Raw genomic sequence first — 15,669 nt, 5'->3', positions numbered from 1 at the left:
GCTGGAATGCCCTCAAATCCATGACACTGGGCTCTTCCCCCAGAACTCCCAAGAACGGCTGACTGCACTGAGCAACAGCCTGGGAGCCCACAGAGCCACCCAATGGCAACTTCCAGAAAGAGGTGTGAGTACCACGCTGTACTGGCCACTGCATGTAAACAACTCACCATTTTCACACTCCACTTTGGAACTAGCCAGGAGCCACTGCACCCTCCTCTTTCCCAAGGCCTGGGCAGGGAGGCACAGCAGACTCAGCCTGGCTGGAGGAGCCAGACACGGTTTTGCCTGGAAGCCCAGGGCCCTTACTTGTTTCTCAGAGGCCCCTCAACCACTGGAGCCACATCTTAGCCCCTACCTGTCCTACCCTGTCCAAGGCTGGAGATGGGAGAGGAGAGCTTTGTTGAGGATAAACTTCACTCTGTGGAAATAAAAAATAATAATGCTATAAATTTTAGCATAATGCTAAAATTTTAATGCTATGAATTTCCCTGTAAGCACTGCTTTAGCTGCATCCCTTGATGATGATAATGTTTTCATTTTTGTTCAATTCAAAATATTGGTAATTTAATTCATTATTTCTTCTTTGACCCATGGGTTATAGAAAAACTGTTAATTTTCAAATATTTGGGGATTTTCCAGGTATTGTTTTATTAATGATGTCTAGTTTAATTCTGTTTTGGTCAAATATACTTTGCATGATTTCAGTCCTTGTAAATGTATTAAAACTTGTTTTATGGCCAGAATATGTGCTATCTTGGTAAAAGTCTGTGTGCACTGGAAAAGAATGTACATTATTCATTTGTTGGACTAAATGTTATATTAATGTCAATTAAACAGTTTAACTGATATGCTGTTCAAGGCTCCTATACCACCACAGATTTTCTGTTAATTACGTGGGGTGGGGGTGTTAAAACCTCCAACTATAATTATGGACCTGTCTTTTCCTCTCAAGTTCTCTTAGATTTTGCTTTATGTATTTTGAAGCTATGTTATTAGGTGCAAACACATGTTCTCCTGATTATCTGACCCTTTTATCCTTATAAAATTATCACCCCTTATCCCTTATAAAATTGTCACTCTATTTTAGAGCAAGGCTTAGTAATATTTCTTGTTCTGAAATCTACTTTGTCTGATTAAGATAGGCACTCCAACTCTCTTTGTATGGTATAGATTTTTCTATTATTTCAGTGTGGTTTTTTTTTTGTTTTAGATAGCATACACTTGGACCTTTTTTAAAAATCTAATCTGACGACCCGTTTTAATTGGAGAATTTTGGCCATTTAGATAATGTGATTATCATTTTACTTGAGTTTATATCTACTACTTTGCATTTATCTTCTGTATGTTCTATTTATTTTCTGTTCATTTTCTTTTTTAAACCGAATGTCTTTCATGATTCTACTTTATTATTGCTTATTATTTATCTTTCCCTTTCTTGATTTATTCCCTCCCTCCTCCTTCCTTCCCTTTCCTTAATTTTTCTTTCTTTCTTTTCTCCCTTCCTTCCTTCTTTTCTTTCTGTTATGATTGCTCTAGGTTCTCCATTGCACATCTTTAGTCACATTCTGCTTTCAAATAATACTATACTACTTCATGTATATGAAGTGAACTTTACAATAGTATACCCATCTCCCTTTCCCTGGCCGTTTTCATACATTTTACTTCTATTGTTATAAATTCCAAAATAAATTATTATTTTTCCTCATTTCTTTTTTTGAGACAAGGTCCAGCTCTGTTGGCCAGGCTGCAGTGCAGAAAATACATGGAACCATTGTTTCATATATTGAGCCTTGAACTCCTAGGCTCAAGAAATCTCCCATTTCAGCCTTCAAGTAGCTGAGACTGCAAGCATGCACCACCACGCCTGGCTAATTTTTTAATTTTTTGTAGAGACGGAGTCTCGCTATGTTGCCACAGCTGGTCTCAAACTCCTGGGCTCAAAGGATCCTCCTGCCTCAGCTTCCCAAAGTGCTGGGATTACAGGTGTCAGCCACCTGGCCCAGCCTGGTTATTAATTTTTTAGAGATATCTTTAAAAATTAAAACAGGTGTCTTTTACACTTATACACATATTTAACATTTATTTTATTTTATTTTATTATTATAAAACTTAAAGTATAAAGTTTTAGGGTACATATGCACAACTTACAGGTTTGTTACATATGTATACATGTGCCATGTTGGTGTGCTGCACCCATTAAATCGTCATTTAGCATTAGGTATATCTCCTAATGCTATCCCTCCCCCCTCCCCCCACCCCACAACAGTCCCCGGTGTGTGATGTTCCCCTTCCTGTGTCCATGTGTTCTCATAGTTCAAGTCCCACCTATGAGTGAGAACATGCGGTGTTTGGTTTTTTGTCCTTGCAATAGTTTGCTGAGAATGATGGTTTCCAGCTTCATCCATGTCCCTACAAAGGACATGAACTCATCATTTTTTATGGCTGCATAGTATTCCATGGTGTATATGTGCCACATTTTCTTAATCCAGTCTATCATTGTTGGACATTTGGGTTGGTTCCAAGTCTTTGCTATTGTGAATAATGCCGCAATAAACATAAGTGTGCATGTGTCTTTATAGCAGCATGATTTATAGTCCTTTGGGTATATACCCAGTAATGGGATGGCTGGGTCAAATGGTATTTCTAGTTCTAGATCCCTGAGGAATGGCCACACTGACTTCCACAATGGTTGAACTAGTTTACAGTCCCACCAACAGTGTAAAAGTGTTCCTATTTCTCCACATCCTCTCCAGCACCTGTTGTTTCCTGACTTTTTAATGATTGCCATTCTAACTGGTGTGAGATGGTATCTCATTGTGGTTTTGATTTGCATTTCTCTGGTGGCCAGTGACGATGAGCATTTTTTCATGTGTTTTTTGGCTGCATAAATGCCTTCTTTTGAGAAGTGTCTGTTCATATCCTTTGCCCACTTTTTGATGGGGTTGTTTTTTTCTTGTAAATTTGTTTGAGTTCATTGTAGATTCTGGATATTAGCCCTTTGTCAGATGAGTAGGTTGTGAAAATTTTCTCCCATTCTGTAGGTTGCCTGTTCACTCTGATGATAGTTTCTTTTGCTGTGCAGAAGCTCTTTAGTTTAATTAGATCCCATTTGTCAATTTTGGCTTTTGTTGCCATTGCTTTTGGTGTTTTAGACATGAAGTCCTTGCCCATGCCTATGTCCTGAATGGTATTGCCTAGGTTGTCTCCTAGGGTTTTTATGGTTTTAGGTCTAACATTGAAGTCTTTAATCCATCTTGAATTAATTTTTGTATAAGGTGTAAGGAAGTGATCCAGTTTCAGCTTTCTATGTATGGCTAGCCAGTTTTCCCAGCACCATTTATTAAATAGGGAATCCTTTCCCCATTGCTTGTTTTTCTCAGGTTTGTCAAAGATCAGATAGTTGTAGATATGCGGCATTATCTCTGAGGGCTCTGTTCTGTTCCATTGGTCTATATCTCTGTTTTGGTACCAGTACCATGCTGTTTTGGTTACTGTAGCCTTGTAGTACAGTTTGAATTCAGGTAGCGTGATGCCTCCAGCTTTGTTCTTTTGGCTTAGGATTGACTTGGCAATGTGGACTCTTTTTTGGTTCCATATGAATTTCAAAGTAGTTTTTTCCAATTCTGTGAAGAAAGTCATTGCTAGCTTGATGGGGATGGCATTGAATCTATAAATTACCTTGGGCAGTATGGCCATTTTCACGATATTGATTCTTCCTACCCATGAGCATGGAATGTTCTTCCATTTCTTTGTGTCCTCTTTTATTTCATTGAGCAGTGGTTTGTAGTTCTCCTTGAAGAGGTCCTTCACATCCCTTGTAAGTTGGATTCCTAGGTATTTTATTCTCTTTGAAGCAATTGTGAATGGGAGTTCACTCATGATTTGGCTCTCTGTTTGTCTGTTATTGGTGTATAAGAATGCTTGTGATTTTTGTACATTGATTTTGTATCCTGAGACTTTGCTGAAGTTGCTTATCAGCTTGAGGAGATTTTGGGCAGAGACAATGGGGTTTTCTAGGTATACAATCATGTCATCTGCAAACAGGGACAATTTGACTTCCTCTTTTCCTAATTGAATACCCTTTATTTCCTTCTCTTGCCTGATTGCCCTGGCCAGAACTTCCAACACTATGTTGAATAGGAGTGGTGAGAGAGGGCATCCCTGTCTTGTGCCCATTTTCAAAGGGAATGCTTCCAGTTTTTGCCCATTCAGTATGATATCAGCTGTGGGTTTGTCATAGATAGCTCTTATTATTTTGAGATACATCCCATCAATACCTAATTTATTGAGAGTTTTTAGCATGAAGTGTTGTTGAATTTTGTCAAAGGCCTTTTCTGCATCTATTGAGATAATCATGTGGTTTTTGTCTTTGGTTCTGTTTATATATTGGATTACATTTATTGATTTGCGTATGTTGAACCAGCCTTGCATCCCAGGGACACAGACTGGCAAAGTGGATAAAGAGTCAAGACCCATCAGTGTGCTGTATTCCGGAAACCCATCTCATGTGCAGAGACACACATAGGCTCAAAATAAAGGGATGGAGGAAGATCTACCAAGCAAATGGAAAACAAAAAAAGGCAGGGGTTGCAATCCTAGTCTCTGATAAAACAGACTTTAAACCAACAAAGATCAAAAGAGACAAAGAAGGCCATTACATAATGGTAAAGGGATCAATTCAACAAGAAGAGCTAACTATCCTAAATATATATGCACCCAATACAGGAGCACCCAGATTCATAAAGCAAGTCCTTAGTGACCTACAAAGAGACTTAGACTCCCACACAATAATAATGGGAGACTTTAACACCCCACTGTCAACATTAGACAGATCAACGAGACAGAAAGTTAACAAGGATACCCAGGAATTGAACTCAGCTCTGCACCAAGCGGACCTAATAGACATCTACAGAACTCTCCACTCCAAATCAACAGAATAAACATTCTATTCAGCACCACACCACACCTACTCCAAAACTGACCACATAGTTGGAAGTAAAGCACTCCTCAGCAAATGTAAAAGAACAGAAATTATAACAAACTGTCTCTCAGACCACAGTGCAATCAAACTAGAACTCAGGATTAAGAAACTCACTCAAAACCACTCAACTACATAGAAGCTGAGCAATCTGCTCCTGAATGGCTACTGGGTAAATAATGAAATGAAGGCAGAAATAAAGATGTTCTTTGAAACCAACAGGAACAAAGACACGACATACCAGAATCTCTGGGACACATTCAAAGCAGTGTGTAGAGGGAAATTTATAGCACTAAATGCCCACAAGAGAAAGCAGGAAAGATCTAAAATTGACACCCTAACATCACAACTAAAAGAACTAGAAGAGCAAGAGCAAACACATTCAAAAGCTAGCAGAAGGCAAGAAATAACTAAGATCAGAGCAGAACTGAAGGAGATAGAGACACAAAAAACCCTTCAAAAAATTAATGAATCCAGGAGCTGGTTTTTTGAAGAGATAAACAAAATTGATAGACCACTAGCAAGACTAATAAAGAAGAAATGAGAGAAGAATCAAATAGACACAATAAAAAATGATAAAGGGGATATCACCACTGACCCCACAGAAATACAAACTACCATCAGAGAATACTATAAACACCTCTATGCAAATAAACTAGAAAATCTAGAAGAAATGGATAAATTCCTTAACACATACATCCTCCCAAGACTAAACCAGGAAGAAGTTGAATCTCTGAATAGACCAATAACAGGCTCTGAAATTGAGGCAATAATCAATAGCTTACCAACCAAAAAAAGTCCAGGACCAGATGGATTCACAGCCGAATTCTACCAGAGGTACAAAGAGGAGCTGGGTACCATTCCTTCTGAAACTATTCCAATCAACAGAAAAAGAGGGAATCCTCCCTAACTCATTTTATGAGGCCAGCATCATCCTGATACCAAAGCCTGGCAGAGACACAACCAAAAAAGAGAATCTTAGACCAATATCCTTGATGAACATTGATGCGAAAATCCTCAATAAAATGCTGGCAAACCGAATCCAGCAGCACATCAAAAAGCTTATCCACCATGATCAAGTGGGCTTCATCTCTGGGATGCAAGGCTGGTTCAACATTTCTAAATGTTCTACATTACCTTGTATAAAACTAACTTTTCCCTTGGTGTTATTTTCCTTCATGCAGAAAAAATTCCTTTAATATATCTTTTAGTGGCCTGTTTGCAATGAATTCTCTCAGCATGTGTTCATGTTAAAAAAATTGAGTTTGCCTTCATTTCTGAAAGGTATTTTTGAATGCATAGAACTCTAGGTTGACAGGGTTTTCCATACTCACCCCAGTGTTTTAAATATATTTAACTTTTTCCAGCTTGCATAGTTTCTGATGCAAAGAAACTATGCCATTATATATTTTTTCTCTGGCTGCTTTTAACATGTTCTCTTTATCATTGACTTTCAGCAGCTTAATAATGTAGCTCAGTATATATAATTTTTCATGTTTCTTCTGCCTAAAATCTACTGAGCATCTTTGATCTATGAGTTTTTAGTTTTTATCTCATTTGGAAAAATTTGGGCCAAATTTGTCCTCTTTCTGAAACCCTAATTATACATGTTAGATTGACTGACGTAGTACCACAGGTCACTGAAGCTCTGATCTTTTCAGGGTTGGGGGAGGTATCTTCTGTTTTCCCTTTGTGTTTATTTTGTTTGTTTCCTTTACTTTTTTTCTTTCTTTCTTTTTTTTTTTTTTTGGGAAACAGGGTCTGGCTCTGTCACCCAGGCTGGAGTGCAGTGGTGTGATCTCAGCTCACTGCAACCTCCACCTCCTGGGCTCAAGCTATCCTCCCACCTCAGCACCCTGAGTAGCTGGGACTATAGGTGTTCACCACCAAGCCCAGCTAATTTTTGTATTTTTTTGGTAGAGATGGGGTTTTGCCATGTTGCCCAGGCTGATCTTGAACTCCTGGGCTCAAATGATCCATTCACCTCAGCCTCCCAAAGTTCTGGGATTACAGGTGTGAGCCACCACTCCTAGCCTCCATGTATTTATTTTGGATATTTTCTGATAATACGTTTTCAAGTCAGCTAATCTTTCCTTCAGCAGTTTCTAATCATTGTTGATCCCATCCATCATATATTCATCTTATCATTTCAGATATTACACTTCTCATTTCTAGAAGATATTATTTGAATATCTTCCATTTTTCTCTTCACCATGTTCAATTTTCCTCTATTCTCTGAACATATGGAGTGTATTTATAAAACCTGATTTATCATCCTTGCTGATAATTCTATCAGCTTTGTGATTTCTGGGTCTCTTTCTATTAATTTTTTTTCTCCTTGTTATAGATCACATTTACCTCCTTCTTAGCAAGCCTGGCAAGAGACGGGGTCTCACTCTGTTGCATAGGCTGGAGTGCAGTGGCAGGATCACAGCTCACTATAACCTCCACCTCCTGGCCTTAAACAATTCTCCCACCTCAGCCTCCTGTGTAGCTGGGACTACAGGTGCGTACCACCATGCCTGGCTAATTTTTAAATTTTTTGTAGAGATGAGGTCTTCCTATGTTATCCAGGTTGGTCTCAAACTCTTGGCCTCATGTGATCCTCCCACTTTGGACACTCAATGCGCTGGGATTACAGACGACAGCCACCACACCTGGCTTGTGTGGCAATTTTTACCTGGATGCCAGACATTGTGAATTGTATGCTACAGAGTGCCAGATATTGTTGTGTTCTTTTAAAAATCGCTGCCATGGGCAGTAGCTCACACCTGTAATCCCAGTTTGGGAGGCCGAGGCAGACAGATCACCTGAGGTCAAGAGTTCAAGACCAGGCTGGCCAACATGGTGAAACTCTGTCTCTACTAAAAAAAAAAAAATACAAAAATTAGCTGAGCATGGTGGTGGGTGCCTGTAACCCCAGCTACTCAGGAGGCTGAGGCAGGAGAATCACTTGAACCTGGGAGATGGAGGTTGCAGTGAGCTGAGATCGCACCATTGCACTCCAGTCTGGGCAACAAGAGTAAAACTGTGTCTCTAAAAATAAATAAATAAATAAATAAAAATTGCCATCTCTTTTTATGGAACACAGTTACCTGTTATCAGTTTGATCCTTTTGAGGCCTGTTTTTTATCTAGAACTGTGAAGAATCAGAGATTTTATGCTACTTCTGAGCAAACACATTAACCTGCCAAGTTTCACAAATATTAGCTAAAGACACAAAACTCCTGGCTCAAAGGCAAAGGACATTACTATTTACAGTGTAGCAAGCAACATGAGATTCCTGTTTGCATTGGTTTTTCTTGCCTCCCAAGTCTCAAAGCAGCAATATGGAAAAGGCCAGATGGATGCTGTGCAACCAGTGGGTCTACATCACAGCTTGAGCAGTTTAATGTCTGTGAACCTCAGTTTCCTTATGTAAAATGGAAATAATAATGAAACCTAACTTGCTGAGTTGGTACAGGGATTAAAGGAGATGACATTCTTGGTATCTTTGATAATCAGGGTAGAAATTTTCTTTTTCTCCTCTTCTTTGCCATCTCCTACACCTCGTCCCCTCAAATAACCTAACTACCAGAAAACATTGAGTGGGTCAAATGAGAGGAGACCTTAGGGAATCTCCCTTGAGCTTAAGGAATCTGAATTTTTATAATGTGCTACAAGCAGTACTATATTTTGTCCCAAAAGGATACATGACCTTTATTATACTGGACAATAAACAAATCTGCCCTTGGCCCCAGAAGGAGACACTATTTCTGTATTCTAAGGCTGTTCACTATTCAGATATTCTTGAAAAGATAGTCTGGAACAAAAGGTCAGTTAGGGCCTCTGCTTGAAAGACATGCAAAAATGTGAACAATCCATGGATCCATGCTTCCCACCATATTAAAGCTTTATCAGGGCTTTATGTAAGTCTAGAACTAATTTGAATGCGCTAGTGAGTCAAAAGTCTTCTCAGAACTTTACTGAAAATCCCATATATTAAGAACATCTTTCCACTCTGGCAGGTGAAAACACTATTCCTAGCACTGTGTGAGATCTAAGAGTTGTTCTGCCTACTCCTTTGAAGTGGTTCAGCTCAGAACTCAACCAAAGGCTTGAGAGGATTCCTCTGTAGTTATCTAGAGCTCACTCTTTGCGCATCTCTCTTTTCTCTGGTACTCTGACCCACAAATCTTAGTCTTTGCCTTAGTCTTCTCAAACTCCACACTCTCTCCCTCTGAAGCTCAGTGAAACTGGCAGGCTCTGTCTGGGTTCCCCCTTCCTGCACTGCACCTTGGATAGTCTCTCCATGCATTAAGTAGGGGGAATTGTGGGGCTCGCCTAACTTATTCCCCTCCTCTCAGGAATCACTGTCTTGTGTTACCTGTTGTCCAATATCAGGAAGCCATTGTTCCATATATTTTCCCAGTTTGCCAGTTGTTTAAGATAGAAGAATAAATCCAGTCCCAGTTATACCATCATGAACAGAATCCAGAAGTCTGAAAATAGATATTAAACTAGCAGACAAATTCATTGTCTAAATATAAAATCCTAACAAATCTAAAAAGCAACTGCCAAAATAAGTGGCAAACTAACAGAATACAGTTACAAATACAAAAACCAATTGTGTTTCTACATACTACCAGTAAACATTCACAAAATAAATTTTTCACAATAACTTCAGTTATAAAAGCATCAAAAAATAAAGCACTTCAGGACAAATGTAACGAAAGACACGTAAGTCCTCTACACTGAAAACTGTAAAACATTGCTGAAAAAAATTAAGGCCTACATAAATAGAGTTGTACCCTATTTGTCATAGCCCGAGGGGTTCTTCTTGCCTGCTGCCCTGAAAAAAACAATGAGAACAGCAGGTGTTGCAGCAAAGAGTTTAATAATTGCAGGGCCAGCCAAGTGAGGAGAACGACAGACACTTTTCAAACTCATCCCCCCAAGAGTTCAGAGGCTAGAGTTTTTTAACTACTACTTTGGCAGGCAGGGGGCTGGAGAACTGAAACAACGGATTGGCTGGGGATGAAATTGCAGGGGTGTCTAAAACCATTTTCACACAGCCAGGTCATTTCCTGGGAAGCGGTCTCAGGACGAAGTGGCATCTCTTGGTCTCCTGAAATGCTAAATCTGAAAAATGTCTCAAAGACCAGTTCTTCAGGTTTTACAATAGTAATATTACCTACAGGAGAAGTTGGAGAAGCTCTAAATCTTGCGACCCCAGATACAAGACTCTGGGGCAGTAAGCAACTTATATAACAAAAACAAGCTAAGTAATGGCGGGTCATTGTTCAACTATGTCTATTCTTCAGCAAAGTTCAAGCCCCTACCATAATTTTAACTTTGTTTTATGAATGTGGTTTTAACTGTAAACTAAATTCCTCTTATAGTTATCTTGGCCCCCACATTAGAATGGACAAAAAAACAATTTAACTTGAGAGGTTGGAAGCAAGATGGAGTCAACCATATTAGACTTCTCTCATTACTTATAGTTCTGCAAAGGTGGTTTCATATTCATGAATTATAAGACTCAACATTAAGATGTCAATTTTCCCCAAATTTATCTACAGATTCATATCAACCCCAATTGTAACCCCAGCAGGATTTTTTTTTTTTTTTGATACAGGGTATCACTCTGTTGTCCAGGCTGGAGTGCAGTGGTGCAACCACGGCTCTCTGAAGCCTTGACCTCCTGGGCTCAAGCGATCCTCCCACTTTAGCCTCCCAAGTAGCTGGGACCATAGGCACAAGCCACCACGCTCAGCTAATTCTTAGGTTTTTTTGTAGAGACAGAGTCTCACCATGTTGCCCAAGCTGGTTTGAAATCCTGAGCCCAAGTGATCCTCCCATCTCAGCCTCCCAAAGTGCTGAGATTACACACGTGAGCCACTATGCCTTGCCCCAGCAGGATTTTTTAACAGAAATTGACAGGTTGCTTTTAAAGTGTATATGGAAATGCAAAGGACCTAGAATAGCCAAAACAATCTTGAAAAGAGAAGAAAGACTTATAATACCTTTCTTCAAGACTTAATATAAAACTAGAAGAATCAGGAGTGTGTTATTAGCTTAATAATAAAGATATCAACTAAACAGAATTAAGTCCAGAAACAGAACTACATTTATACAATCAACTGATTCTCAACAAAGCTCTGACGCAATTAAGAGAGGAAAAATAGTCAAACAATGTTATAGGAAGTCATTATATATCCATATGGGGAAAAAAAGGAACCTCAGTGCTACCTCAACTATACACAAAAATTAACTCAAAATAGATCACAGACCGGGCACACTGGTTCATGCTTGTAATCCCAACACTTTGGGAGGCCATGTTGGGAGAAGAGCTTGAGGCCAGGAGTTTGAGACCAGCCTGGGTACTATAGCAAGAGCCTGTCTCTAAAAAAATTTAAAAATAAATTACAGACATAAACATAAAACTATAAGGCTTCTTAGAAGAAAATACAGATAGAACCCAAACGCCCATCAAAAGGGAATGAATAAGATGAGAAATACGATAGTTCCCCACCCTTATCTGCAGGTGTGCTTTCTACAATTTCAGTTACCAGTAGTCAACCGAGGTCTGAAAATATCAGATGAAAAATTCCAGAAATAAACTACTCATAAGTTTTACATTGCATGCTGTTCTGAGTACTGTGATAAAATCTTGCACTGTCCTGCTCCATCCCACCTGGGACATAAATCACCCCTTCATCCAGTGGAAACACGCTGGGGACACTCCCTGCCCGTTAGTGTCCCTCTCAGTTATCAGATTGACTGCCACAGTACTGCAGTGCAAGTAACTCTTATTTTACTTAATAATGGCCACAAAGCGCAAGAGTAGTAATGCTGGCTATGCAGACATGCCAAAGAGAAGTGTAAAGTGCTTCCTTTAAATAAAAAGGTGAAGGTTCTTGACTTACTAAAAAAAAACAAAAAACAAAAAAACAAAACAAAACAAACAAACAAACAAAAAACAAAACAAGTATTCCGAGGTTGCTAACATCTATGGTAAGAATAAATCCTCTATCTGTTAAATTGTGAAGAAGGGAAAAGAATGTGTGCTAGTTTTGCTGTTGCAACTCAAACTGCAGAAGTTACTGCCATGGGCCACGGTAAGTGCTTCGTTAAGACAGAAAAGGCATTAAATTTGTGGGTGGAAGATATGAACAGAAACATATTCTCATTGAAGGCAACTGGGTTAGATGCTGTCTACAGCAGGGGCCTTGGAACATGTCCCCTGAGGAGAAGGGAGGGCTACTGTATTCATAAAATGTAATACTACCCCACCAAAACACAAAACAAAACCTACTACTGATACATACAAGTTCACAGATATTACAGTGAAAGAAATCAAACAAATGCAAAAGGAACATGCTATTGACACAGGATTTTTTGGTGGTGTTCCACAGCCAGAGACCTCCACGGCCGGGGGGGCCCTGCTCAAGATCAAGATTCACTCGTGACCACTGGGCTGGCTCCACCCACTGGGCTTGGCAGGCTGTGCTTGGCTCTTGGCTAGCGGTACTGGCCCAGATCTCACACCCACCAAGGGCAAGCCAGGTATGCTAGCTGCTACAGCAGGGCATCACCTCCAGGCACCAGCTTCATGTGAAGCTGTGGCTGGATCAGGTATACTGCAAGCAGCTTCTGCCTTGGGCACTGGCATATGAACGAAGGGAACGCAGTGGCGTCCAAAAAACTCAAAAGACACCAGCAACTGCGGAACTTCAAAGGTCAGGTGCAGTGGCTCATGCCGGTAATCCCCACACTTTGGGAGCCTGAGGTGGGAGAATTACGTGAGGTCAGGAGTTCGAGACCAGCCGGGCCAACGTGGCGAAACCCCATCTCTACTAAAAATACAACAAATTAGCCGGAAGTCGTGGCAGGCACCTGTAATCTCAGTTACTCAGGAGGCTGAGGCAGGAGAATCACTTGAACCTGGGAGGCAGTAAGTTGCAGTGAGCCAAGATCACACCACTGCACTCCAGTCTGGGTGATAGAGTGAGACTCTGTCTCAAAAGAAAAAGAAAAAAAAATGCGGTGGGGGGTGTTACAGCATGTTACAGCTCTGGCTTGGGGAATCCCGAGGTCTGCACCCCGAAGAGTCTCAGCTCGTTTGTGTTACAGTTCATTCATTCCTGCTGTCCACAAGCTTTGCCGAACGGGGGCATGTCCCAACTTGTTCAGTCCCACCAGCCCACGGCTCCTGGGCTGGCCTGGCGCCACCACCACTTCCCATAACGTGGGGTGGCCGCCTGGTGCCAGGAGAGGGCAGGAGGGCTACAGCCTTTCACCTGCTGTTCTTTTGCACCCGCTGTTCGGCAGGTCCCGAGTTCTTGTCCTGCGTCCAAGAAGAATGAGGTTACACTGACAATTGCAGAGTAACCAAGGCAGAGAGGACGTTTATTCAGCAACAGAACAGCTCCCAGCAGAGAGGGGACCCAAAGGTGGTAGTCCCACTGTGTAGCTGAGTCCGGGAGTTTTTATGGGCTCAGAATGGGGGAGTGTGTGCTGATTGGTCCATAGGCAGCCTGGAAAAAGCACCATTTGATTGGCTAAAAGGCATTGCGGGAGTTCTCACTTGGGTCTTAGATTCTACCCAGAACTGGCAGGTGAGTTTTCAGGCTTCCGGCGGTCTTTGACTCGAAGGTTGGTTTTCACCAGGGACCCGCCCGTATCTACCTAGGAATTTGTCTGCTTCCCACCACTATCAGTATCTGTCCATTTATACTAAGTTCTAAAATAGGCAAAATTAATCTATAATTTAAAAAAAAGAAAAATTCAAAAGACCAGGCTTGATGGCTCATGCCTGTAATCTCAGCACTTCGGGAGGCTGAGGTGGAAAGATTACTCAAACCCAGGAATTCAAGACCAGCTCGGGGAAAATAAGGAAACCTCATCTCTACAAAAAATAAAAAAAAATTATCCTAGCATGGTAGCACACTCCTGTGGTCCCACCTACTCCACAGGCTAGCTGGGAGGATCATTTGAGCCTGGGAGGTCGAAGCTGCAGTGAGCCATGTTTGCACCATCGCACTCCAGCCTGAGTGATAGAGACTCTATCTCAAAAAAAAAAAAAAAAAAAAAAAAAAAAAAAAAAAAATCAGAGCAATAGTTGCCTCTAGGACTAGGAGAAGATGACTGGATAGGAGCATGAGGAAATTTTCTTGGATGATGAAAATCTTCTAAATTTTTTGATTACAGATAACAGTTATGATGCATTTGTCAAAATAAATTGAATTGTATCCTTAAGAGTTGTATATTTCGGCCAGGTGCAGTGGCTCACGCCTGTAATCCCAGCACTTTGGGAGGCCGAGGTGGGCGGCACAAGGTCAGGAGTTCGAGACCAGCCTGGCCAACATGGTGAAACCCCATCTCTACTAAAAATATAAAAATTAGCCAGACATGATGGCAGGCGCCTGTAGTTCCAGCTACTCGGGAGGCTGAGGCAGAAGAATAGCTTGAACCCAGAAGGCAGAGGTTGCAGTGAGCCAAGATCGCACCATTGCACTCCAGCCTGGGCAAGAGATCGAGACTCCGCCTCAAAAAAAAAAGAAAAAAAAGAGTTGTACATTTCATGACTTATATATTTTGCCTTAACAAGAGAAACCAGAACTTTAAACAAATATGGAACTCTTACTAGTAGGCTTGCTTCACACATCGTATGGCTTATCAGTTAAAAAATCACTTCCTGTGTTTTCTTATATGTGAATAAATGTATACATACAATGAATATAATGGGAACTTGGTTCACTCTTGGAAATAAACAATTTCCTAGCTCTGTCTGCTGACACTGAAGCAGTGACACACAAGTAGCAACAAACACAACTCGTAATCACATCTTGGTTTTTCAATACCATTTTCCACTAAAAGAACCAAGACCCCTTGGTGAAATGACTGATTCTAGGATAAGGGTAAGAGAACCACAAAACTTTTTAAAAATATACATTTGAGGCATACAAGATATTTTGATTGATACACATATACATAGTGAAGTGATTACTTCAGTCAAGCAAATTAACATATTCATCATCTCATGTAGTTATTTTTTTTTTGGTGGTAAGAGTACCTAAAATCTACTCTCCTGGCAAAGTACCAGTATACAATACAATATTAACTATAGTCCTTATGTTACACACTAGAACATTAGAATCTAACCGCAACTTCGTACCTTTTGACCTACATCTTCCCATTTCCCCTACCCCGCCCCTGGTAACCATCTTCCTACACTGTTTCTATGGTGATTTTTTTCAAGACTCCACATACAACCGATATCATATCATATTTTTCTTTCTGTGTGTGTCTTATTTCACTCAGCATGATGTCCTCCAGGTCCATTCATGCTGAATGCTACAAGATAAAATCGGAACATCTTATGTGCCTGAAAGTAAAGAATTCCTCAAAAAATCATATGGACATGTCAAAAGGATAAAGGAGGCACCACTAAAAGGCTCCCACTGGCTGCTCAACAGAGGCCCACACCCTCCCGCAACTTCTCGGCCTCATCAGTGGGTGGACTGCATGTTCCTGTGGTAGGAAACACACCCTCCCCTCAGAGATCTGAATCTCTAATCTTGCAGGTGGGGAAGGGAGCATTTCCTTTAACTTAAGTAACTCCTTTATTAACTCTTCTTCAGCCCTAGAAGTAACAGCTCCTTTTCGTAGCTGCTTCTTCTGTATCATAGAGTCCTCTTTTAGTAACT

At 40.6% G+C, this 15,669-nt stretch overlaps 1 protein-coding gene across 6 annotated transcripts in view, besides 1 other annotated feature; it reads right to left on the bottom strand.

Moving 5' to 3' along the window:
• Positions 1 to 15,669, bottom strand: part of KLRG1 (killer cell lectin like receptor G1) — a 265,527-nt gene that overhangs the window by 246,126 nt on the left and 3,732 nt on the right. The gene's annotated exons all lie outside the window — the stretch shown is intronic.
• Positions 12,417 to 13,616: an enhancer, noted in NCBI's record as "MED14-independent group 3 enhancer chr12:9108425-9109624 (GRCh37/hg19 assembly coordinates)". NCBI's record gives its function as "activates an origin of replication core promoter dependent on BRD2, BRD4, P300/CBP and CDK7 cofactors, and independent of MED14, by STARR-seq in HCT116 cells {active_cell/tissue: HCT116}" and the evidence as "EXISTENCE:reporter gene assay evidence [ECO:0000049][PMID:35650434]".

This window comes from Homo sapiens, chromosome 12 (assembly GCF_000001405.40).
Source record: "Homo sapiens chromosome 12, GRCh38.p14 Primary Assembly".
Taxonomy (NCBI): domain Eukaryota; kingdom Metazoa; phylum Chordata; class Mammalia; order Primates; family Hominidae; genus Homo; species Homo sapiens.
Note: the sequence above shows the minus strand (reverse complement) of the source record. Positions and strands in the feature narration are given on the sequence as shown.